A 15011-nucleotide genomic window follows, 5' to 3' on the forward strand; every position below is an offset into this window, starting at 1 on the left:
ACCTATCTCCAAAAACATTTTAACATCTCCCCCGTCGTACCAACAACTATCATCAGACAGGCACAAAAACAGATGACTTGTTAAACTCGGTATAGTCTCAGTGCTGTGTCGATACAGGCTTCTGAAAGTTAAACTCGGTATAGTCTCAGTGCTGTGTCGATACGGGCTTCTGAAAGTAAGAATTAACTGCTTTCTTCATTGTACATGCTTGCAGTATATCTATAGTATAATGTGTGTGTTTATATGCATTCATGCACTGTACATGTATGTGTTTTCTGTTTATGTGTATCATTTTCTTCCGAGCATTCTTAACATTTAAAAATTGGGGCCAGGTGCGGTGGCTCATGCCTGTAATCCCAGCACTTTGAGAGGCTGAGGTGGGCAGATCACTTGAGGTCAGGAGTTTGAGACCAGCGTGGCCAACACAGTGAAACCCCATCTCTACTAAAAATACAAAAATTAGCTGGACTTGATGGCAAGCGCCTATAATCCTAGCTGCTTGGGAGACTGAGGCAGGAGAATCTCCTGAACCTGGGAGGCAGAGATTGCAGTGAGCCGAGATCATGCCACTGCTTTCCAGCCTAGGCAACAGAATGAGACTCCATCTCAAAAATAAATAAATAAATAAAAATAAAAATTGGGAGATTTCATATAAAAATCTGGGTTCCTGACTCTGGTTTGAAATAGGAAGCACAAAAACCACAATTCCATCATCAGCACAACCAACTGGAGTTCTCAGTAGGGGCTGCCCCTTTACATGGGGTGAGTGCTCTCTGGTTTGGTTCAGTTCCCTTGTTTCTAACTGCTCCCCTGCCCAGCTCCCTTCTATGTATCTATGTGACCTGCCCATCTCTGTAGAGGTTGAGGGGTTGTGTTTTGTTTTGTTTTTTTAATTCTTTTCAGAGGCCTGTATCGACACAGCTCTGAGACCATACCGAGTTTAACAAGTCATCTGCTCTTGTGTCTGATAATGGTTGTTTGCATGTGTGCCAGAATACGGCATACCACCTTATCATGGAAGCTGATGGGGAAGAGACCTTTAGGCATCATCTATCTTGACCCACAACACAGAGAGTTGTAAACAGCCGCTTTGTATTGGGTTGGGTTAGCGGCGCTTCCCCACTTGTGTGTGGAACACAGCATTTCTGCCCACACCGGGGACTCTAGCGGACACCTTGCTGGCTCAAGGGCCACAGCTGTGTCTGTGGGGCAGCACCTGGGTACAGACATCAGCATGTTCACCTCTGCTTTAGGCCTTGAACATCAGCTGGGGGGATGAGGGAAGAGAGAGTGGGGGCCTGACAAGCATTTTTAAAAACTTGTGATAAAAAATCCACAAAATTTGCCAACTTTTTTTTTTTTTTTGAGATGGAGTCTTGCTCTGTCACCTAGGCTGGAGTGCAGTGGTGCAATCTCGTCTCACTGCAACCTCCGCTTCCCAGGTTCAAGCAATTCTCCCGCCTCAACCTCCCAAGTAGATGGGATTACAGGTGCCCACCACCACCCCCGGCTAATTTTTTTGTATTTTCAGTAGAGATGGGGTTTCACCATGTTGGCCAGGCTAGTCTTGAACTCCTGACCTCAAGTGATCTGCCTACCTCAGCCTCCCCAAAGTGCTGGGATTACAGGTGTGAGCCACGGCCCCCAGCCCATCTTAACTATTTTTTAAATGTAGTGTTTAGTAATGCTAAGTATATTCCCATTGTTGTGCAACAGATCTCTATAACTTTCTCATCCTGTAAAACAGAAACTCTAGACCACCGAATAACTCCCCATTTTCCACTCTGCTCAGCCCCTGATAACAACCAGTCTACTTTCTGTTTCTATGAGTTTAATTATTTTAGATACCTTATATAAGTGTTAATTATATAGTGTGTCATTTTTTGACTAGCTTATTTCACTTAGCCTAATATCCTTAAGATTCATCTATATTGTTCCGTGTCAAAATTTCCATCTTTTTAAAGGCTGAATAATATTCCATTGTAAGTGTATGTCACATTTTGTTTTTCCATTCTTATCCATTGATGGACACCTGGGTTATATCCATTGATGGACACTTGGGTTGCTTCCACCTCTTGGCTATTGTGAAAAGTGCTGCTATGAAGATGCGTGTGTGAGTATCTCTTCAAGATCCTGCTTTTAATTCTTTGGGGTATATTCCCAGGAGTGGCATTTCTGGATCTCATTCATATATATACATTTTTTTTAGTTAGGGTCTCTGTTGCCTAGGCTGGCCTCGAACTCCTGAGCCCATGTGATCCTCCTGCTTAAGCCTCCTGATATGTTTAATTTTTTGAGGAATCTCCACACTCTTTTCCACAGTGACTGAACCATTTTACATTCACACCAACAGTGCCCAGGGTTCCAATTTTTCCATATCCTTGTCAATACTTATTTTCTCGGTGGTTTTTTTTTGAGAGGGGGTCTTGCTCTGTCACACAGGCTGGAATGCAGTGTTGTTTTCATGGCTCACTGTAGCCTCGACCTCCTGGGCTTAAGCGATCTTCTACCCCTCAGCCTCCTGAGTAGCTGGGACTATAGCCTGGCTAGTTTAAATTTTCTCTTATACAGACAGGGTCTCCCTATGTTTCCCAAGCTTGTATTTTTTCAAAAATAGTGGCCATCCTAATGGGTGTGGGATGGCATCTCACTGTAGTTTTGGTTTGCAATGCTCTAATGATCAGTGATGTTGAGTATCTTTTAATATGGTTTTTGGCCATTTGTATGTCTTCTTTGGAGAAATGTCTATTCAAGTCCTTTTCCCATCTTTTTAATCAGGTGCTTTTTTGTTGAATATTGAAGTTCTTATATATCCTAGATATTAACCCCTTATCAGATATATGACTTACAATTATTTTCTTCCATCCTGTAGGTTGTTTTTGCCCTGTTGATTGTTTGATTTGAGACACAGAAATTTAAGTTTGATGTAGTCCCATTCATCTACTGCTTTTGCTGCCTATGCTTTTGGGGGTCATATCCAAGAACTCATCACCAAATCCAATGTCATGAAGCTTTCCTCTATGTTTTCTTCTAGGATTTTCATAGTTTTGGGGTCTTACATTTCACTCTTTAATCCATTTTGAGTTAATTTTTGCAGATGGTGTAAGGTAAGGGTCCAACCTCATTCTTCTGCATGCAGAAGGACATTGTGTTTTAACCCATTTTAGATAATCAGCTCTGTGAGAGCTTGAATTGTGTCTTATTTATTAGCATATCCTCAGATAGTCCTGGATACATAGTGGGCTGCTTAGTAAATGTTTTTTACTAAGTGATTGCATTGAAGAGACTGAGAAGATTGTTATACTATACTTGTCTCATAATTGTTCTTTTAAATGCACATAGTAATTGCTTTTTGATCATACCTAACCCCTAGTACTGACAGAGCAGTGACAAGATGGAATGACAGTCAGACTCCAGCAAATAAAACAAAGAAACGGAGACTTTAAACTTTTCACATTTAGATAAGTCTTTTTTAGTTCACAGAATAATTACGCCAAAGTTAAAAGCAGTCGATGTTCCATCCAAACATGTCTCACACCCCTACTCTTAATACTGGTTCCAGGTATATCTACAATGAGTTTGGGAAGGGTGCCAGATCCCTCCTTTTACTAAATATTTTACCTCCAGTAGCACAAAAAAGAGGCCAGAGATAATATCTCACCCACATTTACACAATCAGTACACTACAGAGATCACAGTATGTCAAGTGCCTTTGAAATGTGGGACTTTAATGTACAAACGGCAGCACCTTACGTATGACAGTGGAGGCCAGAAAGCAGCAGCCGCCCCCTTACCACCAAAGCTAAGCAGATTCCAACCCAGAGTAGTTTCCTGTATTGGTGCTCCAGTCTGATTCACCACAGGCCTCGGAACTGGACTTTTATTTAAGGGTGAGAGAAAGCCTATTAGCTTTCTAGCTTCCCTAATAAGTCTCAGTGGTGGGTACCACAAACACTAGAAGTTAAGAGAGAGAAGGAAATGGGTTTGGAATGTCCCCATTCAAAGGCCGGGTCTGTTGCAAAAGCTTATTCATCCTCAATCATTCTCTGCTCCATCAAGGACCCTGGACAGCTCAAACCATGTTACAAGCCAGATGGCAGCATTGGAGAAGAAAGCTTGCAAGGCATTTATTAAGCAAGACAGCCAATGACTCCCCTGCTCCTACAGTTGGTTTTGTTCTAGTGATCTATAGCCTGGAGTTGACTTCCTCCAGAGAAGCAAAGCAAGAGCATTCTCTTAGAGGAGGGTGGAGAGCACTATGCTAGGAAGCAGTTTATAAGGAGAGACCCCAGTCTGTTTAGAAGCAGCCAGAGGGTGCCTGTGTGAAGTGTTTGCTGGTGAAAACTCCACCATGACCCGGAGTACCTCAGGCCAAGGGAATGAACGAGGATAAGCCAAATCCTGAATCGTCTTATTCTCTGGATGGACGGAGACTCAGGCTTGTGTTTGAAGAGTTTAAGACATAAGTGGAGAGAAAACACACAAATCCTCCGTGAAGAACTCTGAGCTTTTGTTCTTGCTGACTTTCCAACCGAAAACCCACCTGTGTCCTTCCTCCTTGGGCAAATTCTACCAGTCTGCCATGTCCAGATCAAACCTAAATGCCGCTGACCACTGCAGACTACAGTGCTCGCTCCCTTCAAGCTCCCACAGCAGGAAGCATCTGTGCACTTACCTGGAGGGCATGTGGGTACTGTTTTATTCTATTTGCATATGCTCTATGTGTCTGGTCTTCCCAATTAGGATGTCAAGAGGTCATTCATAATGCCTAGCACACTGCTAAGCAATGATAGCCAGGGATAAGGCACTCAAAGGTTTAGAATCATTTGCTAACACTAAAGTCATTTCCCTTACCAGTGTGGAGAAAAAAGTCTATTGCTCTATACCTCCATAAGTACTAAAAATATAAAATAACTTGGAACTATTTTTTTTTAAGTTCTCATTGTATATTTCCTGATGAAATGATAGGATGTTCGGGATTTTCATCCAATTAATAAGGGTGAATATTCAGAAACAGTATACTGAATGAAAGAAGCTGAAAGTACACATTCACAAGAATTTCTTTATACACACATATATATACACACATACGTATATATGTGTGTGTATATATGTGTATAAAGATTCTAGTCATATGGAGTTCTAGAACAGGTAAAACTACAGTGAAAGAAAGCAGGTCAGTGTCTGCCTAGACTGGGAGTTGGGGAAGTGGACATGTGCACATGGACAGAAGGGAAATTTCTGGGGTGATAGAAATGTTCTATATCTTGAAATATAGGATGGGAGTTACATGGGTAAATACATCTGTCAAAATTTGAATGGTAATTTAAATGAGTACATTACATGTCATTTGTATGTCAATACAGTTGACTTGTAAAAACATATAGCTAGGTATAAAAATAAATATAGGTATAAATATGCGAACAAATAAGGAAAGGTGGAAGGAAGACTGGGGAGCAGTAGGAAGAGGCTGGCTCTGAGTTGTTAGAATTGGGTGAGGAGCCCCAAGCAGGGGGGGTTCATAATACTGTTCCATTTTTGTATATGTTAAAATTTTTCCAGAAAAAGGTTTAAGATAGTTTTCATTTGGTTTTTTTAACTTAAAATGATCTTTAGGAATCTTATCCAATCCCAGGACAATGAGCTTTTTCTCCCACATTGCTATTGGCTATGAGGGTTTCTCAGGCTTGAGGGCCTATTTCCCAGGCTCTCTCATTGCATGGGTGTGTGGCAGTCCCATGGACACCTGCCTTGTTTCTCCTCGATGGAAGCTGGAGAACATTGTCCAGGCCCCAGCAAATGTGAGCTTTTGGCAGGCTTTTTCTGTTGGTGATCACCCTCCTGTGCCCTCTTCCACACTCACCGGGAGGGCCCTGGCCCCCAGGCAGGCCAGGAGGTCCTGGAAGGTAGGTGTTTGAGGCCAGCACCTTGTCACCAGTGATATACTTGCCCAGGTCAGCTGCATTGTTGGGGAGCAGAGCAATCTGCAAGGAGAAGAGGAAGCCTCAGTCAGGAAGCAATGGCAGAAGAGAGCCTCGGCATTTGTCTTGGTGGGAGAAGCTGCAAAGCCTTTTCATGAGACATATGTATATACTTTTTACTAGAGCTAGTTAGAGCTCAGAGAAACTATAAAGAGCCTCTTTCTAAACCTAGAGGCATTCTAGGGCAAATAACTTGTATGACATTACTCAGCTAGTTAGTAGGTGAGCTTAAATAAGCTCCAGATGGCCTAGATATCACTAGAACTCATTATTACCATAATTAATGGGATCTACTTATTTCATACTCTCAATTTTTCAATGACCTATTTTATGTCTCAAACATTTATTGAACACCTACTATGTGCAGGTCCTGGCTTGGTTCTGTGGCTACAGTGGTGACCAAGACATGGTTCCTGCCCTTAAAGAACTCTCAGCCTTGGGAGTTAGGACCGAGAACATGGCTGACGGTTCCCCAGCACACTCAGGGCTGACCTTCAGTACAACTGGGCAATCGTGACTGTGGTGGTTGTAAAATGTGTCCACAAATTCTTTGACACTTTGTGATCACGGGAGTCAATTCTCCTTAATAAACTCCCTTTCATATACACATGTATCCCATTAGTTCTGTCTCTCTAGAGATCTCTAATACAATTCCCCTGTGATTGTTACTCAGAATTCAGTAGGGATGACTGTAAGAATCAAAATCTTGTGCAATCTGAAAGCCAGCTTTGTACAACTTCAAGTCAGGGCTCATGATTCAGAGTCACCACTGTGTGCCTGGGATATATTTAAAATGGTGCTGACATCACTGTGTCATAGCAATAGACCACCACAACCTGCAGGTGGGTACCTGTGGCCCTGGGGAGGAAAGGAGTGAACCTCTTCCCTCAGTGAGTGAGGGAAATGTATCAGTAAATCTACTGCAACCATGAGGCAGTGGGTCAACACTGGCAGCTGAAGCCTGATCCAATTTTATCATCTGCTTCCAACTAAGAAACTGAAATGTGGGTCCCACTCTTGGGCCTTGGAATAAGGCAGACTTACCTTTAAATCTGAGCCCTGCCACTTTCTACCTGTGGGATCTTGGGTAAGCTACACAACCTGGATTTCCTCATCTATAAAATGGGGATGGTAACGGCCACCTAGAGGCACTGCTGGAGGGTTAAAGTGATGTTGTCTTTAACGTGCCTGACTCAGTGTCCAGCCATTGTCATAGACCAGCAGAAATGCTGTCTGGGGGCCTGGGCACTGTGGCTCATGTCTCTAATCCCAGCAATTTGGGAGGCCAAGGCAGGTGGATCACTTGAGGTCAAGAGTTCGAGACCAGCCTGGCCAACATGGTGGAACACTATCTCCACTAAAAATACAAAAATTAGCTAGGCATGGTGGTGCACGCCTGTAGTCCCGGCTACTTGGGAGGCTAAGGCAGGAGAACTGCTTGGACCCAGGAAGTGGAGGTTGCAGTGAGCCGAGATCGCACCACTGCACTCCACTCCAGCCTGGGCAACAGAGTGAGACTCTGTCCAAAAAAAAAAAAAAAAGAAATGCTGTCTGGGGGCTGCTCCTGACTTTGTTCCTAAGTAGCTGTGTGACTTTGGTAAGTCCCTTCATCCTTCCAAGTCTACAAAATGTGCAGTTTCAACACATGATCAAGTCTTCGTATTTAAAATTTTGTAAACAGAACCTCAGGATGAGGCCTGCACACAGATGGGCTCCAGAGATGCTCCCCTATTCCCCCCAGTCCTCTTTGCTTGATTTGGCCTCTTGAAAAAGTGACGAGGTAAGGTGGCAAATGTTGACCTCAGTGTCCCGGCTGACCTCCTGCTGGGTGGCTGCATCCTGGTTCCCTTCAGCCCCTCTGTGTGGCAGCAGGAGTGCAGAATGAAGGCACTGGCACTTTAGAGGCGGCTGTCCAGAATCTCTGGCCCCACTTTCTGCATAAACACAGCAGACGATGGGCTGTGGGATGCCAGGAGTTTGGGAGGAAGGTTGTAGTAATGTAAAAAGAGTCTGCATTTCTCCCAGATTCCAGTCAATGGAATTATGCGTATCATTTATCTCATATTAGCCTTTGTGAGAGAGCTTTTGCCTCAAAGAGCTGTTGGGATGAATCCGTGAGATGCATCTTGAAGGTACTTTGTAAAGAGTGCTAATAAATAATATTTTTACTTGCTAAACATTTGTAGAGCTCTTTCTAGATGGATGGCGCTGTTCTCAGTCCTTTGTAAATATTCACATTTGATTATCATAAAATCCTTAGGCAGTAGGTATTAATGTTGTCGTTTTTTAAAAGTAGAACTGAGGCACAGAGAGGTTAGGTAACTTACCGAGAGTCACACAGCCAGCAGACGGTGGGTCTAGAATTTAAACTTAGCCAGTCTGCTTCCAGAATCTGTGCTCCTAACCATTAAACCAAGCGGCAACCTACAGTCACTTTTTAAATTTTGTTTTGAGACAGAATCTCACTCTATCACCCAGGCTGGAGTGCAGTGGTGCAATCTCAGTTCACTACAACCTCTGCCTCCCAGGTTCAAGTGATTCTCCTGCCTCAGCCTCCCGAGTAGATGGAGATTACAGGCTCCCGCCACCACACCCAACTAATTTTTCTAATTTTAGTAGAGATGGGGTTTCACTATGTTGGCCAGACTGGTCTGTATCTCTTGACCTCAAGTGATCCGCCCGCCTTGGCTTCCCAAAGTACTGGGATTACAGGCATGAGCCACTGCGCCCGGCCTACAGTCAGTTTAATATGGATTCCCAATAATCCTGGGAAGACCCATTTTATAGAGTAGCAGAGGAAACCACACATTATTGAGAAGCCATATAACCACCTGAGGCAAAGGTGATGCTAGACCGAGCAGGTGCAGCCATCGGGTTGCAAATGTACTCACTTGAAATCCTAGGGGCCTCTAAATTCTCAGGCCTGACTGTTGGCCCCACTTCATTTGGCCATTGTTTGCTGATTTAACACCGTTGGCATGGTTTCCCCATAAGACAGTAAGTTTATTTCAGGCAGAATCCTCTCCGTAGTGTTTTGTATTTCCCCATTTCCCAGCCCACAGTAGGTGCTCAACGAGCACTTCCTGAATGATTATCCACACTTCCCTCAACTGCTCAACGTGGGGAGAGTCGCTGGTTTAAGAGTAGAGAGAGAAATTCTCAACTCCCCAGGCAGCCACCGAGGGAGGCCAAGCACACCAGTCAACCCAGGACAGGCTGAGTGCAGGCTTGAGTGCCAGCCCTCTCCTTCTGGAGTCTCCCTTCCCAGGGAACTCTCTGCAGCAATTTCACTCTCAAATCCGATAGTCCCTGCTGCCAGAACACAAGCAACTTAAAAAAAAAAAAAAAAAAAAAAGGACAGGAGAGTTGGCTCTGAATTTTAAGTGCTCTCGCGGGACAGAGACCCATCTAAAAGTTAAATGACAGGCATCGAATCTATCCCCACACTCTCCCTTTCTCACCACATCACTTGTTTTCTTCCCACACCACAGAAGAAGTGGTGGAGGTGGAGGCACTGAGGTCTATACACCATTTAAAAACATGTTTTTATTGCAAAATAAAGCAAAGAACCTGGAAACTTCACAACACAAATATATAACTTAGCAAATTGTTATAAAGCAAGCACCTCTTCAGTTGCAGCAAACCACCATGGCACACATTTACCTGTGTAACAAACCCGCCCATCCTGCATATGTACCCCAGAAATTAAAAATAAAAAAAGTAAGCACCCTTTTAAAGAACTCCCAAATCAATCCAACAGAACTTTGCCAGCCACCCCAGACCCCCTCCTTCCACGTGCCCCATCCCAATCAGTCTCCTCTCTTCCCCAACAAGTCACCACTTTCCTTTCATAGTAATAACTTCCTATGTTTTAAAAAATAATGTATTACCCACCTGTGCATGCCTAGATATTATGGTTTAGTGTTGCTCATTTAAAAAGTGATAGGTCCTTTAAGTTTCCTGTTGCCTGCAGACTGCCGGAACCCAGGGCATTTGACCTGTCGTGTTTCCCATGGTTGGAATGTTGCCGACTGGATGTTTGTGGTGTGGTTCAAGGTGTTTAAACACCGTTTCATGCTGTGGGGTTGGCCATGGTCTAGGACTGCTAGCATCTCCTTCTTGGCTAATGTTTATTTGGGCAGATGTCCTATGTTCTTTTGTGAACAAATGGCATTAGCAGCAGCAAGACGACATTAAAAAACAACTGACAGGCCAGGCACAGTGGCTCATGCCTGTAATCCCAGGCCTTTGGGAGGCCGAGGCGGGTGGATGATGAGGTCAGGAGTTCAAGACCATCCTGGCCAACATAGAGAAACCCTGTCTCCACTAAAAATACAAAAAAAATTAGCGTGGCATGGTGGTAGGCACCTGTAATCCCAGCTACCCGGGAGGCTGAGGCAGAGAATTGCTTGAACCTGGGAGGCAGAGGTTGCAGTGAGCAGAGATCACACCACTGCACTCCAGCCTGGGCGACAGAGCGAGACTTCATCTCAAAACAAAACAAAAACAACAAAACCAACGGACAGTTCAAACACTGGCACAGGAGTAGAAATGAGAGGACCTAGGTTTTAGGCCTGCCCTCTCGGACGGTTATTGCACCTCTCTAAGACCATCAGTATCTTTTCCACGGGGTCATGGTGCTAATTAAATGTGATTCTGGATATAACGCTTTCTGGGCTGTGGAATGCAAGACATTCTAATAGGAACCTTTAGAAATAAATTGCTCCTCATAACATTCCTTGAAAGTCTACATTAGCTTGGGATTGCCACAATGCATTTGCAGAAAGATTTTGGTATAAGGTAGAACGATGCTAGTCCAACTCAATTGCATAAGAGTTACTGGAGTATTAAGATGACCTCGTGGATTTTTATGTAGCTCTCCAGCAGGGTCTTTGAGGGTGACAAGTATTTCAATGCAAGTTTCTCCACTTCTTTATTTTTATACATCACAAAAAAACATGGCAAGGAGATTAAGGGAAAACCACACTTTGATTTAGCAACTGAATTTCTGAATGACTTGCGCTATTTAGCCCCCTGTTCCTAAAGATCATCCTGGCTGGAAATAAATTCCCTAAGGCACACAGATTACTTCCAGGGAAGGAAAGTGAGGGTAGCTTTATGCCTTGAGAGGTACATCTGGAGATATTGATCGACTGCCTAACCCAAGCCCTTCTGGCTTATGAAATGCAAACTTACTTCTTCCTCGAACCCTTCTCTGGGTTTGTTCAATACAACTAACATCAACCTAAGCTCAAGCTGGGGATATCTGTGTTGGATGTATTTATTTATGTCTCTGTGTTTATAGTGATAGACAAGGTTTTCTGCCTAGTCTTCCTATTAGGATCATAAGCTATTTAGGGTTAAATCTATGTTTTATTCATAACTATCCATCAGATATATACATGTTTCTGTTAAGCAGATCACGTCATCAGAGTCGTAAAAAAGGCCTGCAAACCATTTCTCTTCTCAGCCTGTTGATCTACTGAACTGGTAGCTGTGGTTTTCATTAGGGGCTGGCTGCATGTTTGTTGAACATGGGAAAGAGATACCATCTCAGGCTTACTCTCAAGCCCTTTAGAATCACTGGATGCCAAAGTTCAACAGGGAAGATACACCTCTCTGATGTGCTAAGAGCCTTGACTGGAAGCCGTTAAACAAACAAAACAAGAAGATGTTTTATCAGTTTAAGGGTGATTTCTGAGTCCCTGACAAACTAGCGAATTGAGCAATCTTAGGTAGAATAAATACTGTTTATCTGGGTCCAGGACAGTTGTTCAAGAAGTCAGATTGCCAGACCCATCCCGGGGCATTACTCACAGCAGAACGGTGTTACTAGAAATCTGCTATACCGTCAGGCATTCGGACAGCCTTTTATAAAGTGCATTAGTCCTCATCCTTGGTGACACAAAGTACCCACAGGGCTGCTTTTCTAGGTGCAGGAAACTCAGAAAGGGCATAGACTATAATTTTCAAAAGTGAAAAAGAAAGCTGCTGCACAAGTTCCTCACCAGCTTATGGCAGTTTATAGAGACAATATTCTCTATAAATAATGTACAGATCTTAGATAAAATAGAATTACTTAGGCACATGTATTCCCTAAGGCACATAGATTATTTCCATAATCTATGGACTTTCCGATGGCATGCCTAGAAATTTGTTTTGAGTTGGAGTTTCACTCTTGTTGCCCAGGCTGGAGTGCAATGGAGTGGTCCCAGCTCACTGCAACCTCTGCCTCCCAGGTTCAAGCAATTCTCCTGCCTCAGCCTGCCAAGTAGCTGGGATTACAGGTGCCCACCACCACACCCAGCTAATTTTTGTATTTTTTAGTAGAGATGGGGTTTAACCATGTTAGCTAGGCTGGTCTTGAACTCCTGACCTCAGGTGATCCACCTGCCTCAGCCTCCCAAAGTGCTAGGATTACAGGCGTGAGTCACCGCACCCGGCTGGAAATTTATTTTATGAGAAGTTGCAATAGCCGTAGCTCACCCTATCTATGGCTTTGCCACGTGTCCCTTACCTAGTGTCCATTTTAATAATTGCCTCTGCAATCCCTTGCCATCATTGTGTCCTGATGCCCCTTGGATGGCTCTGAGGGTGGGCAAAACATCCCAAGTCCATGCAAACCTCACTGGCATCAACTGCGTGAATGCTCAATGTGGATATTTTCTTATTTGTAAATATCCTTCCACCTGGCCTTGGCCAAGCCCTCCTTCCATCAGGCATCATCGTTCCCACCCCAGCGGCACGTACCTTTTGCTTCAGCTGCAGCACGGTCTGCTTCATCTGGTAGAACTCCTTGCATGTGGCACAGCAAGTTCCGGCTTTCACCATGTTCTCAGACTTCTCATGGCCTGAGAAAGGAGATAGGCTCAGTCCTGTCTGGGAGGCTGGATGCAAGCCAGACCCAGAGAGACAGCATCGGGAAGGGCGGTCCCAGGGACAGAGTAGCTGACAGCGGGACATGCGAGGGCTCAACTGTGGGTGATTTTACAGCTCTCAGGTCCTGCCAGCATGCCCCAGGGTCAGGGAAGAGGGGAGGACAGAGGGAGAGGGGCCCTGCTAGAAGCTGGGCTCAGCTGTTCCTATTTAGACATGCCAGGAAGACCCTGATCTTCCTTTCATGTGTGAAAATGCGTACCATGGCCTTTTATCAGTGCTTTTCCAGAAGGCAGGCTCTATAAATCTGACATGATTTATACTCCCCTTAAAGGGCTAATGTTCACACACTGTAAATATTCCCCAAGTGCAGGCACTGGGCCTCAAAGCTGCCTTTATCACCTCTGCTAATCCAGTTCTTCAAAGGGAGCACAGCAGTGGGCCGGGAGCTGACCTCACCGACGCGTGAGGCCAGGATGGGAAATGCCCCAGACACTTCGCCACTCCATCTGGGGCCATTCAGGACAGCACTGGAAACGCAGTCGGGCCCAACCACTGCAAAGGGTCCCAAAGCCCTGCTGTAGAACACTAGGTGCTCCATGGGCTTTTTGTAAAAACATTCTTTGCTAAAGGAAAACTGGGTGAAGTAAATGGTGATCTGGCCAAGAATACAGACAGCTCTCTTCTTCCTGGCACTGGAATGGCCTACTTAAGCCTGCATGCTGGGGAGACCAGCCACCTGGGTCACCTTGCTGCTGAGGACCTTGCACAGACTGCCAAGGTCTGTGCCAAAGGTGGCAGCAGTGTGGGCTGAAAGTGCTAGGTTGAGGGTGTTTTGTTCAGGCAGGCAGGACAGTTTGACACCCAGGGAAGCATAAACTCTCTTCGCTTAGCAGCCCTTTGGCGTTGGGCCAGGTTTGCTCTTTGTGTGACATAATAACCACGACTATCTAGAACGCAGACTGGGGAAGTCGGGTAATGCGTGACCATCTCTTGTTCTTCCTGGCCCGTATACTTTGCTTCTTACTGTTCCTCTCTTCTGCAAAGCCCTCTGTTCCATCTCCACTTGTTGAATCCCACCAAGATGCACATCAAATGTTCCATGAAGCCTGCTCTCTACCCACGGAAGTCTGAAAATCAGGCAGCATTTACCGTGTGTCCCTCCCACTCACAGGCTGGTCTTCTAGGCCTCCCTGGAGAGCATCTCTTAGGGCGCATGCCACCAGGTAAGCTGCCTAAGAACCAGGCTCACTTCTTGGTATCTCACGTAATGGATGCTCGAAAAATCTTTGGGAAATGGATCGTTACAGGTTGAATTGTGTCCTGATTCCCAGTGCTTTAGAATGTGACTTTATTTGGAAACAGGATCACTTCAAATAAAATCAGTTAAGATGAAGTTATACTGGAGTAAGATGGGATCCTAGTCCAATATGATGGGTGTCTTTATACAAAGGGGAAACTTGCGCACAGGAAGAATGCTATGTGAAGATGAAGGCAGAGGTGAGAGGCAGTGGAAGCCAAGGAACACCAAAAATTGCCCGCTGATGACCAGATGCTGGGGAAAGGCACGGAATGGATTGTCCTGCATAGCTGTTAGAAGAAACCAACCCTGCTGACATCTCAGACTTCTAACCTCAGACCAGAAACAAATTTCTGTTTCAGCCACTTAATTTGTGGCATTTTGCTATGGCAACCCTAGGAAACAGACACTTGAATGGATGGAGGGAGAGATGGGCATGAGGGCAGCCCACATGCAGGCAAAACTTCCTTACACAGCCCGACTGCCCAGTCCTCTTCCTGGTGACATATGCAGTGACCAGGGCTTCTGCCCTTTGGGAGGTGAGCAGGCCCAGAGGCAGCCTGGTAGCTGAGCTCTCAGACTGTGCACCTTCAGCACAGCAGCAGGAAGTTTCAGAGCTTACCTGCTGCACCACCATCCCTGCACCATGGGAGACCTGGGGTTGGCAGCACCCGAGCTAGGTACACATTTCTCAAGCCAGCAGGTTGACACAAATGATGCCATGCTGTGTAGTTGCGTTTCCACAAGTGACAGTGTAATTGTTGAATATACAGGGTCAACATAGCTCTTTAGGCAGGTTTTGAATGTGTCATCGGAGAAAAACACTTGAACCTCTGCAAAAGTGGCAGTTTTTA

At 44.9% G+C, this 15011-nt stretch overlaps 1 protein-coding gene across 6 annotated transcripts in view, besides 1 other annotated feature; it reads right to left on the reverse strand.

Moving 5' to 3' along the window:
- The window catches only part of CCBE1 (collagen and calcium binding EGF domains 1), a 266783-nt gene that overhangs the window by 11181 nt on the left and 240591 nt on the right, over window positions 1-15011 (reverse strand). For 4 of the 6 annotated variants that reach the window (XM_024451091.2, XM_047437302.1, NM_133459.4 and 1 more), the window contains 2 exons: window positions 12732-12832; window positions 5864-5984 (listed from right to left, as the gene is read on the reverse strand). In XM_024451091.2, coding sequence (XP_024306859.1) covers window positions 5864-5984; window positions 12732-12832 — 222 coding nt within the window. Of the gene's footprint in view, window positions 1-5750; window positions 5985-12731; window positions 12833-15011 lie in introns of all 6 variants that reach the window. The other 2 variants (XM_017025557.2, XM_047437301.1) reach the window with 1 other exon arrangement.
- Window positions 13173-13944: an enhancer, noted in NCBI's record as "H3K4me1 hESC enhancer chr18:57122524-57123295 (GRCh37/hg19 assembly coordinates)". NCBI's record gives its function as "activates a minimal SCP1, AML or CMV promoter by ChIP-STARR-seq in primed H9 embryonic stem cells {active_cell/tissue: H9 hESC(primed)}" and the evidence as "EXISTENCE:reporter gene assay evidence [ECO:0000049][PMID:30033119]".

Source organism: Homo sapiens, chromosome 18 (assembly GCF_000001405.40).
Source record: "Homo sapiens chromosome 18, GRCh38.p14 Primary Assembly".
NCBI classification, from domain to species: Eukaryota; Metazoa; Chordata; class Mammalia; order Primates; family Hominidae; genus Homo; species Homo sapiens.